General features: G+C 32.2%; 1 protein-coding gene across 1 annotated transcript in view; it reads right to left on the bottom strand.

The window, feature by feature from the left end:
* The window catches only part of RGS21 (regulator of G protein signaling 21), a 50,294-nt gene extending 34,683 nt beyond the window's left edge, over positions 1–15,611 (bottom strand). The window contains exon 1 of the mRNA NM_001039152.3: positions 15,498–15,611. The gene's annotated coding sequence lies outside the window, so the exon portion shown is untranslated. The remainder of the gene's footprint in view (positions 1–15,497) is intronic.
* Between the last annotated feature and the right edge of the window lie 1,417 nt (positions 15,612–17,028).

The raw sequence follows: 17,028 nt of genomic DNA, 5'->3' as shown, positions 1-17,028 counted from the left end.
TTTATTGTTGTTTCTTTTATGAATTGTGCTCTTGATGTCATGTCTAATGACTCTTCCCCAGGTCCTAGATCCCAAATACTTTCTCCTGTTATATTCTAACCATTTTAGAGTTACATTTAAATCTATGATTCATTTAAAACTAATTTTTTAAGTATAAGGTGTGAAGTTTCGAACAAGGTTGACTTTTTTGCCTATTGATATTCAATTGACAGTTTGGCAGGGATTAAATTTTAGGCTGAAAAACATTTCCCTTTATAAATTTGATGGTATTGCTCCATTGTCTTTTTCTATCCAATCTTACTGATTACTGATCCCATATAATTCTCATTTCTTTGCATTTTTATTACTGGTTTTATGAGATATTTTGATTCTGTTCCTTTGCATGGTTCTTTTTTCATTTACTGAGTTGATTTATCTTTTAAATATGGAGCTTTATGTTCAGCTCTTGGAATTCTTCTTTCATTATTTTAAAAATAATTTTCTCTTTTCAAGTCTGTTTTCTTTTTCTGTACCTTAAGCTTATCAGTTAGATTATGAACATCCTGAATTTTACTTCTTTATTAGTAATTTTTACCATGGTAAGCCCTCAGTCTAAGATTCTACTTCATTTTCCCTGTTGTATTTTTTTTACATCAAATAATTTCCCCAAAATTAAAAAGGATTTCTTTTTATTTAAGACCGTTCTCTAAATATCTTCATTGTTGTGGATATATGCAATGTTCATTCATTTAATATTACTTTTAAATGGTCTCAAAGGAAAAGAGATAAATACATTTTCAATCTTTTAACAAAAGTAGAGACCCTTGTGTCTAAATTTTAAAAAAATATTTAAAGTAGTAAATGTTTCAAAATGTTTTATTATTTTTCTAACTCATGATTTTCATAATCTTCTAGTATTTTATCAAATACCTGTACCTTAATTTTTAAGTTACTCTCATTGTGCCACTCAATAGGTTTTTAAATATGTCAAATTTTTTGAATAATATGTTTTAAAGTCAATTTAAATTATACACAGTCTTTATTTATTTATTTATTTATTTATTTATTTATTTATTTAGAGACGGAGTCTTGCTCTGTCACCAGGCTGGAGTGCAGTGGCACGATCTGGGCTCACTGCAACCTCCGCCTCCCATGTTCAATCGATTCCCCTGCCTCAGCCTCCCAAGTAGCTGGGACTACAGGCGCCTGCCACCACGCTAATTTTTTGTCTTTTAGTAGAGACGGGATTTCACCATGTTGGCCAGGTTGGTCTCGATCTCCTGACCTCATGATCTGCCTGCCTAGGCCTCCCAAAGTGCTGGGATTATAGGCGTGAGCCACCACACCCAGCCACAGTCATATTTATTTAAAATAGATTTTTTTTTAAAATCAGATCACTTACAACTTTTTGATCCAGAAACGAGGGAGAAAATAAATTCCACAAAATTTGCGTGGCTGCATACAGCCGGACATTAACAAGAATGTAGAGCTATTATTTATTCAGGGATTCATATGTTCCATTATAGTCTTTCTTAAAGTAGTCTAGTTGAGTAGAGCCATAACATATACATCAACCATAGGTTTCAGTTACTACCACATACACAAGCACTGATACAATCTACTACATCATAATCACCTAATTAATTACAAAATACATCTCAGTGCCACATTCCCAACTATTGCACAGATACACATGGTTACCCCTCAGCTCATCAAATTCAAAGTGTTTAAAACTGAATTCATTTTCAATTGTCTATCATTCAATCCTTATTTTTTGTTTTGACTTAACTATACTTGTAGTCACTGAAATTAAAAGCTTCAGAGTTATCATTAACATAACTTCACATGAAGATAATGACTTGTCAGGTCTCATTTAGATATCGCTCACATTTATCTATAACTCTCCAACTCCAGCAACATTCCGTTTGTCCATGCCCTCACTTCTTAGTGATTAATGCGTCTCTTAACTAATTGTACTGTCTCCAGATTGTTCTCCTTCCAATCCATCCTACATATCTTAGAAGAGTCTTACTGAAAAACATAAGATCTCATTTTGTTTTTTTGCCCTAGAATCTTACATGCCTCTGTCATTTACCAAATTTTGTGTAAACCTTTTAAGATGACTTTCAATGTCTGCCAAAATCTGGCTTCAACCTGATTTTCTAGATTTTATTTCGAAGTTTATTGGGTCAAAGTAGCTTCTACTTTAGGAAAATTCTTTCCCCACACCACACTTTTCTTGAATTCTGAACCATTTCATACATCTGTCCATATTTCAAACTCCCTCTGGAATTGATTTAACCTCACCGTCTTTAGTTGTCTAAATTCTACCCATGGATTTCAAAGCTTTGCTTGCATGATTTCCCATCTCTGATCCACAGAACTGGAAATGATCTGTTGCTCCTCTGAACTTTCGTAACACCTATTATATGCTTTATCACTTTCTATCTTGTGTACTTCTAGTGTGTGACCATATCTTATCTCTCCTTTTAGACTTCTTATTCCATAAGGATAAGTTAAATATTTATTCAGCTTTAAATTCTTCTCAACACCTATTACCTCATATATAACAATACCAGTTGATATATAATATTAATAACAATGTTGGACGTAGAAATATAAAATGTTTAAAAATTTATATTTTTCTTCTTCCCTCAACCTTTAGGGAGCTCTTCACCACATGATTTTAGCTTACTATAAACAAGTATAAAAGATGAAATTTATCACTGAATTAGAATACTTCTGTTTAAATCAATAAGCTCATATACCTAATCCTACTTATAATATGGAAAAGGCAAAGAATATCTATTCTGTGTGTGTAGGTTTTTGGGGTTTGGAGCATGATTCAATTTTTTTTTTACTTTTCCCTGCCTATGCTGACCCCCTTTTCTCATCTGTACTATTGCCTGAGGCAGTAAGATTATAGCACAAAGATTTGACTACAGTTTTATATTAATTGCATGACACACCTCATTTGAGAAACATCTCTCTTCTTCATAGAATCTATGAAACTGCCTTAGTACTTTAATTCCTTTGTTACAGATATTCTTTTAAGTTAGAGTAATAGGTCGTTATATGTTTTTATTTTTCTTATGTAAGTCACAATTTACATAGATGCCCCTTTTCTCTTAATAATAAGCAGAGAAATTAAAAGACACTTGCATATTCTTTTCAAAATAGAATCAGAAATAGTCAAATCAGAATCAGAAATAGAAAAAAAATGTAGCTTTGGTAGGCAGAAGTCCTGGTTAATCTCAGAGAAATGGCCTAGGGAAGCAAAATTAACAATGAAATGAAGTATACCTCTGCTCATAATGAAGCTGACATATATCCAAGGAAAAAATGAATAGGTAGTTGAATTTTATGCTCATACTAGTGGGATCAGTTCTGTATATGTTAGATACTCAATATCACTGAATTCACTGAGGTGTTATCAATTTATTTCCAGTTAAACCTGACAATATTGGCCACTAAAATCTACGTAATATCTGTTAATATTAAATTTGTGATTTATTGTATCGAAAAACTTATAACCCACATCATTATGAGTGATATTAACTTCCCTGATTGTCTTCTTGTCATTTAAAAAGAAAAAAAATTCTCATGGGATTGTAAAGTTGATCTATGAGAAATAATTTTAAATTGTATAACATTTTAAAGGAGTAAGTTAATTGAATTTAATCATATTTACCATGTGAATGTATGAGACTTCAATATCAAGCTTTAATATTTCTATACCAATAAATATGATTCTTGTACATAACAGCTATCACCTGCAAATTATTTGTTGATTTCTTTAACCAATCCTCTATTAAACTTAAGGGTTATTTCTCCTTATCCACTATTGTATTACTGTGACGAACATCCTAGTGTACACATATTTTATACATATATAGTTATATCAATGTAAATTCTTAGAAATGAGATTGCTAGATCAAATTTTAAGCAGAATGTGTATTTTGATAATTATTTCCAATCTTCCCATTAGACACACTTTACCTATTTGCTTTTGCAAGTCCTATTTCTCTAAACTTTTTCAACAATGAGTTTTTATCATTAAAAATAAAAGTCTTTGCCATTTTGATTAAAGAAAGTAATATAATGGCCTAGCATAGTTGATGGCCTGTTTTATTAAGATTCTTATCTGAAGCTTGGAAACATTTAACTTAGAAAAACATAATGAACCATAGAGACAAATTATTAATTCAATTACTAAATTATTAATTCAACTACTAAGCACTTACTCTATAAATAATAAAATCAACTAATTTTAGGTAACCATCTGTGTTTAATTTTTATCTCTAATTCTTATACCTCCTATCCTGTAAATTGAGGTGATATATTTTACATATGAAATTAGTATTAATTCTAATAGTCTTGTATCATACGTCTGTCCCTGGCCGCCCTCGGAGCCATGCCCAGCCTGGCATGCATATGTGGTGATTAAGAATACAGTTAAAGGATCAATCACGTGTGTCCATGACAGAGATGCACGCGGCCCTGTATGCCTTCTTTTTTAAAGTTGAGAATATGGTATTCATTTTGCCTATGGGATATTGTTCACATTGCCAATTACATGGATTTTACTCCTCAAAGTAAAGACAACCTTATTGGTTTCCACTTTGATCAGACAATATGACTTAAATATCAGCATTTCATGAGACATTATAAATCTTCAGTTGCTATATGTCAGAGTCTTTATTTTTTGCCATGTTAATTCATTTCTCGTGTCATCATTTCATGCATATAACAGGGGATATAACAGGCTTTCTATATTTACTAAATGCTCGGTTTATTACTTAATAGAACTTTGCTTTCCAGATGGCAAATTCTTGTAAGACTGTTTTTTGTGGCCTCCAGTGGTGGCTCACACCTGTAATCCCAGCACTTTGGAAGGCTGAGGTGGGTGGATCACGTGAGGTCAGGAGTTCAAGACCAGCCTGGCCAACATGGTGAAACCCTGTCTCTACTAAAAATACAAAAATTAGCCGGGTGTGGTGGCACATGCCTGTAATCCCAGCTACTCGGGAGGCTGAGGCAGAAGAATCGCTTGAATTTAGGAGGTGAAGGTTGCAGTGAGCTGAGATCATGACATTGCACTCCAGCCTGGGCAACAAGAGTGAACCTCCGTCTCAAAAATAAATAAATAAAAAAATTAAAAAAAAAGAATGTTTTAAAATGCAATAATTTTAAATCTCATAGACTTTTGAGATTTAGCATTATTACTAGATTTTTACTTTCTGGATTTCTTGTATTTATATGATCTGTGTATTTTATAATCTACTCGTTGCTAGAATATTTTGTTGTCACTTCTTTTTTCTGATGCTTTTTCGGAGGCTACTGTCATTTTCCTGAACTCTGCACATTTTATACTGCACTTATTTTCTTTTTTTTCATTGCTCTTTGCCACCTGGTAATACCCATATCCACCTCTTTATTAAGGTCACATGCTGTTTGGGTGACTTGTATAGCTTCTTAGGTCAGTTAAATGTTTAACAATTTCTCTATTATTCGATGCACATTGAAAGAGTTTATGTGCTTCTACACATTCTATTATTATTTTTGAAGGAAATGGCTGACTTCTCTAGGACTCATCGAAAAACCATTTTATTAGAACATAAAGTGGATTTTTCTACCATCCTTGACAATACTCTAAAACAGGATAAAAGAGCCCTAGAACTTTGTGTGTGTTAGAACTTTTTGGAGAGCTCTTTTAACTTTACTATCTATAATATTAGAATTATGCAGATCTGTACATTAATTTATTGGCATTCTTCACCTGCTGTGAACAAGTGGTTAGTACAATTTATGTCCTTCTTGACTTAAATGATAGGCACATAAAGATGCTACTTCCAAAGTTTGGGAAGAATATTGTGTTTGAAAACAGTTGTGTATATTATAAATACAAACTGAGTTAATACATATTGCATGTGAAATACTTTTGTTTCAACAGGACTCTATCATTGTGTGCATTTCCATATTCTAAAACTGAGAAAATTGTATTTCACTTTGCCTATTCAATTTCTTGAATTTTATTCATCAAAATAAAGACAACTTGCTTGGCTTTCATGTTGATTAAGCAATATGACAAACATAATGAGTACACACATAAGTACTTTTCAATTTATAGAATTATTTCCTTATGTCATTCCAAGTTGTTAAAAATAATTTTGAGGTAAATATTATTAACCATATTTTTTAGGTGTGGAATTTATCTTACTTAAGTCATAAAATTAGCAAGCTGTAGAGTTAAAATTTGAACACATTTTGTTTAGCCGTTTTAAGAGAGTCTAATTTGGCTTCTTTCTTTCTCTATCCAGTTCAATAACACTGGATACAACACCATTGTTTATATCATAATGGCTTAATGTATTTTAAAATAACTTTTATATCATTAAGTGGTATAACATAAAAAGAAACATCATTATTTTAAAGTCATGTCAAACCTTTTTACAAATCTAGTGCCACAAAGGCTACCTAGATTTGTTAGTCCATAGAGACAACAGTCATTCCATATTCCTTATATTTAAGTTGTAATATTTGCAGGATCCATAGCTTTCAAGTATCCATTATGAGTCGCAGAAGAGCCATATTTTATCTTAATAATGTAAATAATTAAAATCATTCCTATAGAATACAACTTCTGTTTTTCAAGTTAACATATACAGATCCATATTCTTTCTGCAGGATCTGTCTCCAGTTAATCAAATAAAAATTTTATTAGTATCACAAGATGATTTAAAACTAGAAAAACTCACAAACTGCATCTGACAAAGGTCTAATGCCCAGAATCTATAAGGAACTTAAACAATTCAACAAGCAAAAAACAACCCAATTACAAATTGGGCAAAGGACATGAACAGAGACTGCTCAAAAGAGGACATACATACAGCAAACAAGCATATAAAAAGTGCTCAACATCACTAATCAGAGACATGCAAATCAAACCACTATGAGATGCCATCTCACACCAGTCAGAATGGCTATTATTAAAAGTCAAAAAATAACAGATGTTGGCAAAGTGGCAGAGAAAAGGGAACACTTATACACTGGTGGGAATGTAAATTAGTTCAGCCTCTGTGCCATGCAGTTTGGAGATTTCTCAAAGAACTTAAAACAGAACTACCATTTGACCCAGCAGTCCCATGACTGGATATTTACCCAAAGGAATATATATATTGTTCTACCGAAAAGACACATGCACTCATATATTCATCACATTAGTAAAGATGGGTACTCAACCAAGATGTCCATCAACTGGGTAAAGATAATATGCTACATATATACCATAGAAAACTCCACAGCTATAAAACAAAAACCAAATCATGTCCTTTGCAGCAATGTGGATGCAGCTGGAGGTCATTATCATAAGCAAATTAATTCAGAGACGGAAAGCCAAATACCTCCTGTTCTTAGTTATAAGTGGGAGCTAAACATTGTGTCCATGTGAACACAGATGGGAAAAATAGACACTACCTATTGGGTACTATGCTCACTACGTGAGTGATGAAATCACTTGTACACCAAACCCAAGCATAATGTAATAACCTAAAATAAAAGTTGAAAAACAAAACTAAAATAAGATATTCAAGCCAGATCATCCTTATTCCCAAGGATAGTGGAAATTAAAAACGGAGAGAAGAGGCCAAGATTTAACTCTGTTATCACCAAAAGGATTTTTGTAGCTTATAGAGTCTCACCTTTCCAGCCTTCTCTTAGACTCATCAATTTCCTATTTTTCAATTAAGCTTCTGAATGATTACCATGTTACTAAGACATTTGTTGGCCTGGGATGGACTTTGTAGGCTTACCTTTGATGAGATTCAATATAAAATTTTTTAACATCGAAGTTAGGATAAGTAGTGTTTAATAAATATGAATAAAGCAAATGTAATTTTTTCTATGGATGGAGGTTTTTGAATGCCAAAATTTTATAATTATGTGTGTGTGTGTTTTATAATTATGTGTGTGTGTGAATGCCAAAATTTTATAATTATGTGTGTGTGTGTGCACGCACACACATACACACATTCCTCTGTGAATATTTTTGGTGTTTTATGTGCAGATTTCCAAGTGCAACATAATCATTATTTCAGTTTTTTCCAATGTGAAATTCACATTGAAATGAAATACTCTTCTTAAGGGAACAAGAAGTCATATGCTTGATACTCAGTTCAATTCTACAACTACTGCTATATGAAATTGTTAAGTGCAACTGCTAATGCCTTATCTTGCTGTGAAGCAGATCTCTTTCAATAGAGAAATCTAAACAAGGAAAAATTATATGTTAATGTAGATCAGTAATCAAACTGAAGAGAAAACTTGCCTAATGAGAAAATTGTTTAAATATCTTGTAGAATTTGTCATTCTAGAGCTTTACTAACTTTGTTTCAACCAAAATATAACTAAAGATATTGTTAGTAAAAAGACCCATTGATCCTTTAATATTTAAAGAAAACTCTTTATGCTGTTTTTATGAAGTTATGACTGTAGAGAAATAAACATGTGTCTGTGGAAACAGTTAATAATGATTACATGTGTATTATTTCTTTCTATATGTAGCTATATATTTGCTTTTCTCTATTAACTGTGGTATTTCTTAGGGATGAACAATGAAACATGATGTAAACATTTACATGAGGCAAAATTAGTTTTTTAACAATCAGGTTTTTTTTCCTTACAAACAACTTTTTTTGAATACATTTCTTAGCATAATACTTGAATCTGTCTAAGGAATAGCCTGATTTATAATCTCTGGGCTGTGTATTTATATGATTTGGAACTTTAGTTTTTATTCATTTCTGAACCTATGCATTCTACTTGGATCATCTTAATAACTTTTTAAGTAATCTTCAGGAAATTTATCCACATCACTTTCAGGCTGATGGTTGTCCAGTCTTCACCTGCAGTTCAACCCTTCTTCTGAGCTTATTATCATTTCCATTGCCACTTAAAATCTCCATAAGCGTCTAAGCATCTATATGCTCATCATCTTTGCCCTCTATCCACATGTCTCCTTCTATAACTTTTTTTCCCAGTCAATTTTTCAATCATCTACTCAGTGACAAGCAAACCTGGGAGTCATTTTTCATTCTTCCCTCACTCTTGCCATTATCTATTTTCTTCATGTTATATACTTTCTTCATATTTCCTGATTTATTCATTTCAGTTTCTCTTTACTTTCACTAGTCTATCACAACTTTTGCCTAACGTGCCTGCAACAGAGCCGTAAGTGCTCACCTGGCAACTTCTCTTTCCTTTCTAAAGGCCATACTCCATAATGCAACAGGATTCATCTCTCTGAAAAGCAAATCTGAGATTATGTAGTTGCCTGAGCAGATGCCATGCAAATAAATGGAATTTCCTTCACAGCCAACCTTTATGCAAAGGCAGAAAGAGGCAACTGCGTTTGTGGGGTAAAACAAGGAGTGACTACACTTTCTTCATCTCAAACTTCTCTTGTTGCAAAACTAACACTGTATCTGCAATTTCCATCTTCCTCATCCTTTGTGTCAATACAATGAAGTCTCTTTTAAAAACACAACACTTATTTTTTAAATAAACTATTTTGGAATAGTTTTAGTCTTACAGACAAGTTGCAAAGATGATATAAAATCCAGATAGATGCTTCATCCATCCCCGCCCCCTTAATATTTTACATCATCATGACAGGTTTTTAAAAACAGAAGTCAACAGTGGTATATTACTGATATTTAAACTCTGAAATTTATTCAGATTTCATCTGGTTTCCCACTGATTTCCTCTTTCTACTTCAGAATCCAATCCAGAGTATCAGGGAATTTAAATAATGCTTATTTTGACAGAGTAAACTTTTTGCAGTTATTAGAATCTTAGTTTAAGACAGTTTAAGACACCCTTTTAGAAGGGTGAACAAATAGGACAATAGGCAGTGAAATCTGGGGAGATGGTGTTGAGTTGTTTGAGTGGTGTGCTCTAGCGTGGGATCCTGGCTGGAAGTGTCTGGCGTTAGTGGAAGAACTTGGGAAACCAGGTAATGTCATGAGGAGATTTGATTTAGAAGATACAAATTAAGGGGATTGTTAGAACACAAAATGGGTTATTAGAAACAAACATTTCAGTTGTATGTTTGAGAATGTTTATTGATTACATAGAAATGGATAAAATCGTGAGTCCAGCCTCAGAATGGGAAAACAATTGTGGAAGTAAATGAAAGCTTATGTGCCATTCATTAGAACTGTGAATTTGTAAATTTCTTCCTAAGAGAGCCTTCCTGTGGCATTTGATGGGCCTGTTGGTCTGGGAGTGTGAAAAAATATTCTGAGGTTTGGAACAATTAATTTGATTGATTAGATTGATCCTTTCCATGATAGGATTTTTTTTTCTGCTGACACAAAATTTATAATGAACTTTAGATATTTGAATGTCATGCTTCTATATTCAAATGAATCTTCTCAGGTTCTAAAGGAACTGAGTATACCTTTCTTGTGAAGTCATGTACATTCCTGAGGGGAAAGACTGGGTAGTTGTCAATTTCCCTGGAAGTTATCAGCTGCAGTCCCCTGCAAGGGGCAGGATATTAGATTAGCCGTTCCACTTGTAATTTCCTGGGAACATATTGTGTGTTTAAAAGATATTATAAGAAAAATCTGCATCAAATTACTTTTTAAAAATGAGACTTGCAGAAGATTTACTTGCTATAATCTCTGTGTGTGTGTTGGGGAAAATTGTGGGTGTGTGTTTGTGTTTTTAGCTGTTTTTTATTTTTTAGTCAAAGTTTTCAATTCTAATATAAGGACCTACTCAAAATGAAAGATTTATTTCAAGTATTAAAAATAAAAACAGACTCAAATATCATATTCTCTTCAGATCAGGGCTCTTTTTAATACATCAAAGAGTGAGTATGTCAGATTCATGAGAAAATAATTTGATTTATACTAATTGTACATGCATATGGTACATCTTTTAACTTATGCTCATATTATAAATATACAAATGATTAATATAAGAGTAAAAATGGCATTAAAATAAAATCAATAAGAATTAGCTCCTTTTTATGAAGTGTCAATAACTTTTTAATTTATTTACTTTTGTAGTGTTTGGTACCTAAAGTTATAATCAGAAAACAGCAAGGATCAGGATGATTTTATATTAGAGTTAGATTTCATCAATATGCCTGGGGATTAGAAAATCCCTGAGTTATAAAACTTTCCACCAGTTCCAATGAAAATTCAGCCCTAATGTCAAATCATTTTAAGTTTATTAGGCACTTATCATAACACTAATTATAAATTAGATCATTTTATATTCTTGAGATTGAGAAAAGTAATTAAATTGGTGGTTTCATTAGTTGATGGACAGTTTTAAAGAGTATTTCTTCTCGAAAATCAAGGTGTATTATTCTTTCTGTTTCTAAAGAAGTGCTTACTAGAAAAAATGGGGTCGAATAGAAATCTAAATCTAACAGAAAAGGGTAATTTTGTCATGAATATTGACTTAATTTTATTAATAGCTTTTAATATACATATTTTAGAGACATGAAGTCTTAGCTTTAGAATTTAAATATTAGGATATTTCTTCATTAAACTGAAAATTCAAATTCAAAATAGATATTCAATTAGATGAATTAAAAATATAGAGTCATGGTAATATTACCTGTTATACAGTCAATCCTTTAAAAATATGCTAATTGCAAGGTTTATAAATGATATGGGGAGTCAAAGTTTTGTAAATCCTTAAGCATTATAATTAGTGTTTAGAATCTTTTTTTGTTGTTGCTGCCAGACATAAAAATGTACAAATGTTTAACTTAAGGTCAGCCAAGCTGAAAAAATATAAAAATATTTTTAGTCAGTTAGCTAATTCTAAATTTGCTTTGTTTCTTCTCATGTTATTTCTTATTCTCTTTTTTTCTGAAACTGCTAATGTAGCAGTAGGAAGTTAAATTAATAATATAGTAAATCATAAAAGTCATGTTCAAGCAAGGTTTTAGCTTTATCACTGGTAGCCCTGCTTTAGATTGAATGTATTTTCTTACCAGGAAATTCTGGAGAGGTTATTACAACACATCCTCACACATACACATACACATACACATACACATACACATACACATACATATACACATACACATACACATACACATTCCTTTACATTTTACATGGTCTGTGCTAGAGGATTAGCATTTATTGAGTTTCTACTGTATGAGGTGCTCTGATTCTCAACCTCCCATGCCACATTTGTGATGTTGAACATCTGTGTGCATGTATTCTTGCAAAATGTGTGTTGCAATTTTTATGCAAATATTTTAATTTAAACAAATGTCATTGTGTGATATATTTCATTTTGCTTCTTTTTAACTTTTAAGTTCAGGGGTACAAGTGCAGGTATGTTAGATAGTTGAACTTATGTCATGGGGGTTTGTTGAACAGATTATTTCACCCAGATATTAAGCCTAGTACCCATTAGCTATTTTTCCTGACCCTCTTCCTCCTCCCACCCTCGATTCTCTGAAAGCCCCAGTGTGTGTTGTTACCCTTCTATTTCTTAATGTCTTTCATCTGGTATTGCGGTTTTAAAAAGATCTATCTGTATTGCTGTGTGACCTTTGCTTCTAATTGCTATAAAATACTTCACTGTGTGGATCCATCATCTTTTCCCTTTACCCAAAGGCTTCTGACTTCCAGCAACCACAGGTAAAACACAATTGAGTATCCTTCTTCAGCTCCCCTTTGTCACCATTTTTAGATGAAGAAACAGAGGCATGGAGAGTTGAATAATCTTATCAGAATTGCACAGCTGGGATTAGAACCAGTCTAATGGCAGGCACATAGAGGAAAGAGAACCATCAGTTATTAAACATCTACTATGTATCACACATTGTAGCAGAAGTTCTATGTCAAAAAATCAATTTTATCCACTTAGGTGCCTTATGTAGTAGCTAAAATGACTCAAAAAATCAGAAAAGTAGCCTGAATAATCACAATTGATAACTGGCAGATTCAGAAGTTTACTTAATACTGGTCATCCCTTAAAGCTCATCTTGTTTTTTTAATTAACCAGTGTCTCATTTCAATGAATGTATTATTTTTAAAAAATATGGAGGTAAGGTTGCTTGATTACTCAGGTATTTCTCTCATTTTGGAAAATTGCATACATAGCCTTAGCAAAGAGCATGTAAAATTCTTTCCAAATATCAATTTTTATTTGCTTGTTTGTTTTCTTATTTTTGGATAACCTATAGCAGCAGAAGAAAATTATATATATGTACACACATACATATAGATTGGAGGATTAATTTTCCTAGAAAACAAACATTTTGAAACAACTGATATAAAAAAAAGTTGGAAGGGATTCTCATGTTAAAAGCTCATTGGATTATTTTTTGGATTTTTAGAGAAAGGGTTCTGTTCTCTCACCCAGTCTGTAGCGCAGTGGTGCAATCATAGCTCACTGCAGCCTTGAACTCCTGAACTCAAGTGACACTTCCCTCCTCAGCCTCCCAAGTAGCTAGGATTACAAGTGTGGACCACCACACCACACCAGGCTAATTTTTAAATTATTTTTATAGAGATGGGGGTGCAGAGGGGACCTTGCTAATTTTCCCGGACTGGTCTTGAATTTCTAGCCTCAAGCAATCCTCCCATTCTGGCCTCCCCAAGTGCTAGAACTACAGGCATGAGCCACTCTACCCACTCTTGAACTCTTAAAATGGATTTTATTCTGCCCTTCTTTTTGTTTATTGATTTACAGATAGACACCGTGACTACATAAAATTATTCCCATCTTTCATTTATATCTAAGTAAAAATTACCAGCTGGTTTTTATGGTGACAATGACATGGATCAGCAATAGTTCTTGGAAGTGTTATTTTTCAAAAAATTGTTGAATAGAAAGGGTTTTTTATTCTTTCAATAAACTTTTTTTCCTCCAAGCTTGAGCAATGATGAGTATGAAGATTAATCAATATCATTTTAAGTACTAGAATGGCTCCTGAATGATAAAACCCATCAATAAAGACAGACTAAGCCAAAATTAAGAAGTAAATGATATCTGACCTAGGAATTTCTCCTTTAGATACGACATTCTCCCTGTTCTTCTGCTGGAAGATAAATCTTGGGCGAGGACAACATCGCATAAAGGCCTGAACAGAGAGTTTAGCTCAGCGTAAAACTTCTGGCAGATTTTGCTGTTCTGGGAGGGATAGAGTCTAGCCCCAAGGAGGGGGAATGTTAGAGGCAGTCTGATGGGGTGAGATCCTGTGATGTCCTTCAAATCAAACCAGAGGAGATTGCTTTACTTCTTTCCCAATTGCACAGAGGCAATTAGCAGAAGTAATTAATAGTGTTACTTCGAGAATGCTGTGGCTGCTTGATTTATTTTCAAATCAAATAGAAAATTATAGTGTCCCCTTAACAAATTCACAGGTGTACTTGACATTTCTAAGTTTAATGACTAGGTTTTTTTTAGATAATGCAATATTTTGACATTGTCTAAAAATAACAGGATATTGATTTCTTAAAAAGGCAATTATACGATGAATATATTAATATTTACTAATATTTTAGACTATAATACATTTTAGAAAGCAGGAGAAAGAGTTGCCAGCATTTGGTGTCATAAGTTTTAGGGCATGGTACAAACCACTAATATGTTATACATATACTATAATACATGTACTAGTAAATGCCAAAACAAAGTAACAACCATTTCATCTTGAGTTGTGAATGCACATGTTGACTAAAAATTTTATGAAATTACAAACTAAAATTATATAAACTAATTTTAAAGAACTTAATATAAGTTATAAGTTAATAAGACTTTACTTAGAGTGACATGAAGATGCATTTTTCAAAATTATTTTAAAAATAAAATTTGAAGAATAGTGAAAGTACTAACTGAAATATATCTTTAAAACTGTAAACATTGTTGAAGTAGTGCTTTTATCCTATCAAGTTCTACTCAAGTCATTTAACCATATATAAGTAAAGACATAAAAATAGTAATATTATATTTAATGTGCTTTTCTATGCTGTATGTAACATCTTTCTCACATTTTCTTTATTTATATAATTCATTACTTTCAGGTATGGTAATTGGCCACCTGCTGTGTGTCCTTGAGAAAGATGTTATTATTACTTGTTCTAGTTGCTTTTCCAAAAGGATATAAGAAAAGTATGAGATAGATTTTTTTTTTTTACATTTCTTCTAGCTTTAAAATTCTATGGGTTCTATAATCCTATCTCTTGTCTTTTTCTCTCCCCTCCCGTGGAGTCTGATATCCTTTGTTCATCTTTTTTACAAATTTGAAGCAGACTAGTTGGCAAAGTGTCAGTTCTTTGACAATCTGTGATAATATATTATTTTCTGCAAATGTTACCAAATGAATAGCTAGTAAAATTTTTTCTTTTTATGATTCCAAACTCGCTGAGTTTGATGAAAAGAATCTAATAGTTGGCATTTTTATCTCTAAATGTCATCAGTTTAATCTTTGTAACAAGTTCATTTATATAATAAACCTTAAATCTCTTTATACTCACACAAATGCAATGCAGGGGAAATCACTGTCCTTGCTCTCTTGATTCCTTCTTTGTTGACAGGATAGATGAGAAAATCTGTGCTTCTTTCAGATGAATTGTTTTCCAAGTGGTAACTTTTCTATATTAACATACTCTCTACCATATGTTTTTCTTTTCTACACAATCTTCATATAACCACATTATTTTTGAGGTTAAGTTTAATATCTAAACACCATTGAATCCATTCCATAATCAAGATATTTAGATTGTAGTTAGTTTTAATTTGAAGAATTTTGGTGGTGTTTCTATTAAATACATAATAAATGTAACAGTAACTCCGACTATCTGAGTCTCTTTTTTTAATGACCTGGTACCTATTTGTGTCAGTGTCCTAAAATCTTCACATTGTGAAGTCACATACATGTGGTATGGAAATTATTTTTTCAGTCAAAAATATGTAAATCTTTACTTTGCAATTGTACTCTGATAAAGTAGCTCAGTTTGAGGGAAAAAAATAAAACAAGCCTTTGTTTTTCTTCTGAAGGCAGTATTTGCATGGCTTTCATATGGTATACATGTTTGCATAGGAAATTTGTCTTTAGTTTCGCATCTGCCCAGATTATAGCCTTTAGTTTCAATGATTCAAAGCTTATGTGGAAGACACTTAAAATACTTAAAAGCTACATACTATTATTTTATGATTTCAGCTAATCAAGGCGCAACTTTTAATGTATGAACAACATCTTTATCAAGTCAAGCAGATAATGAAGGGAAATTATCAAACTATGCTCTCTTTTTTAAAGTAATGGGCCTAAAATTGGACAGATATACTTGAAGTGGCGAAGGAGGAAAATATTATACAACCACTTCATCTGTCCAGATTATTTGAGCCTTTCCTGTATCAATGAAACATCAGCTGTTGCGGTGAGAGCATTTTAATGCACATCCTATTTTACGATCTAGATGCATTAATGATTAATTTATTGAATATGTTTTGTTTTCTATGCTGTAACACTGGCATATCAAAAACTTCAATAGATTGTCACATTTTAACTCTGGACCTTTGGGTTTTAGTGCAAATAATTAACTCTTTACTACTCACATAGCCTCAAATGTGTTTAAGTATTATTACAGGGAGAAATATATTGCTTTACTAAGTAGTTTTACTTGATATTTTACTAAACTCCGTTAAATATATGCTATGTATGTAGTATTTGAAATGTGATACATCTATAAAGGAAAATATTTAGCATAATTGTTAGCTTTACCCAAACAATTTTGAAAGTTAGGTTATTTATTTTCTTTTTGTCTCAGTGTGTATACTTAATGTCCCTCTTGTGCTACACACAATGACTGAAGAAATGTAAGCTTCATGAGAAGAAACATTCACATAGAAATCTTGATCAATTTCTCAGAATTAATAAATCAAAGGGAAATGCTGATACTGTGTAATAAATTTGGCCATATGTAACAGACTAGCTTTCACTAATACAGATCTGTGCCTTCTAATGATGTTACAGTCAATAATGAACCACATAGATGATGATGATCC

Source organism: Homo sapiens, chromosome 1 (genome assembly GCF_000001405.40).
Source record: "Homo sapiens chromosome 1, GRCh38.p14 Primary Assembly".
Classification (NCBI taxonomy): domain Eukaryota; kingdom Metazoa; phylum Chordata; class Mammalia; order Primates; family Hominidae; genus Homo; species Homo sapiens.
Note: the sequence above shows the minus strand (reverse complement) of the source record. Positions and strands in the feature narration are given on the sequence as shown.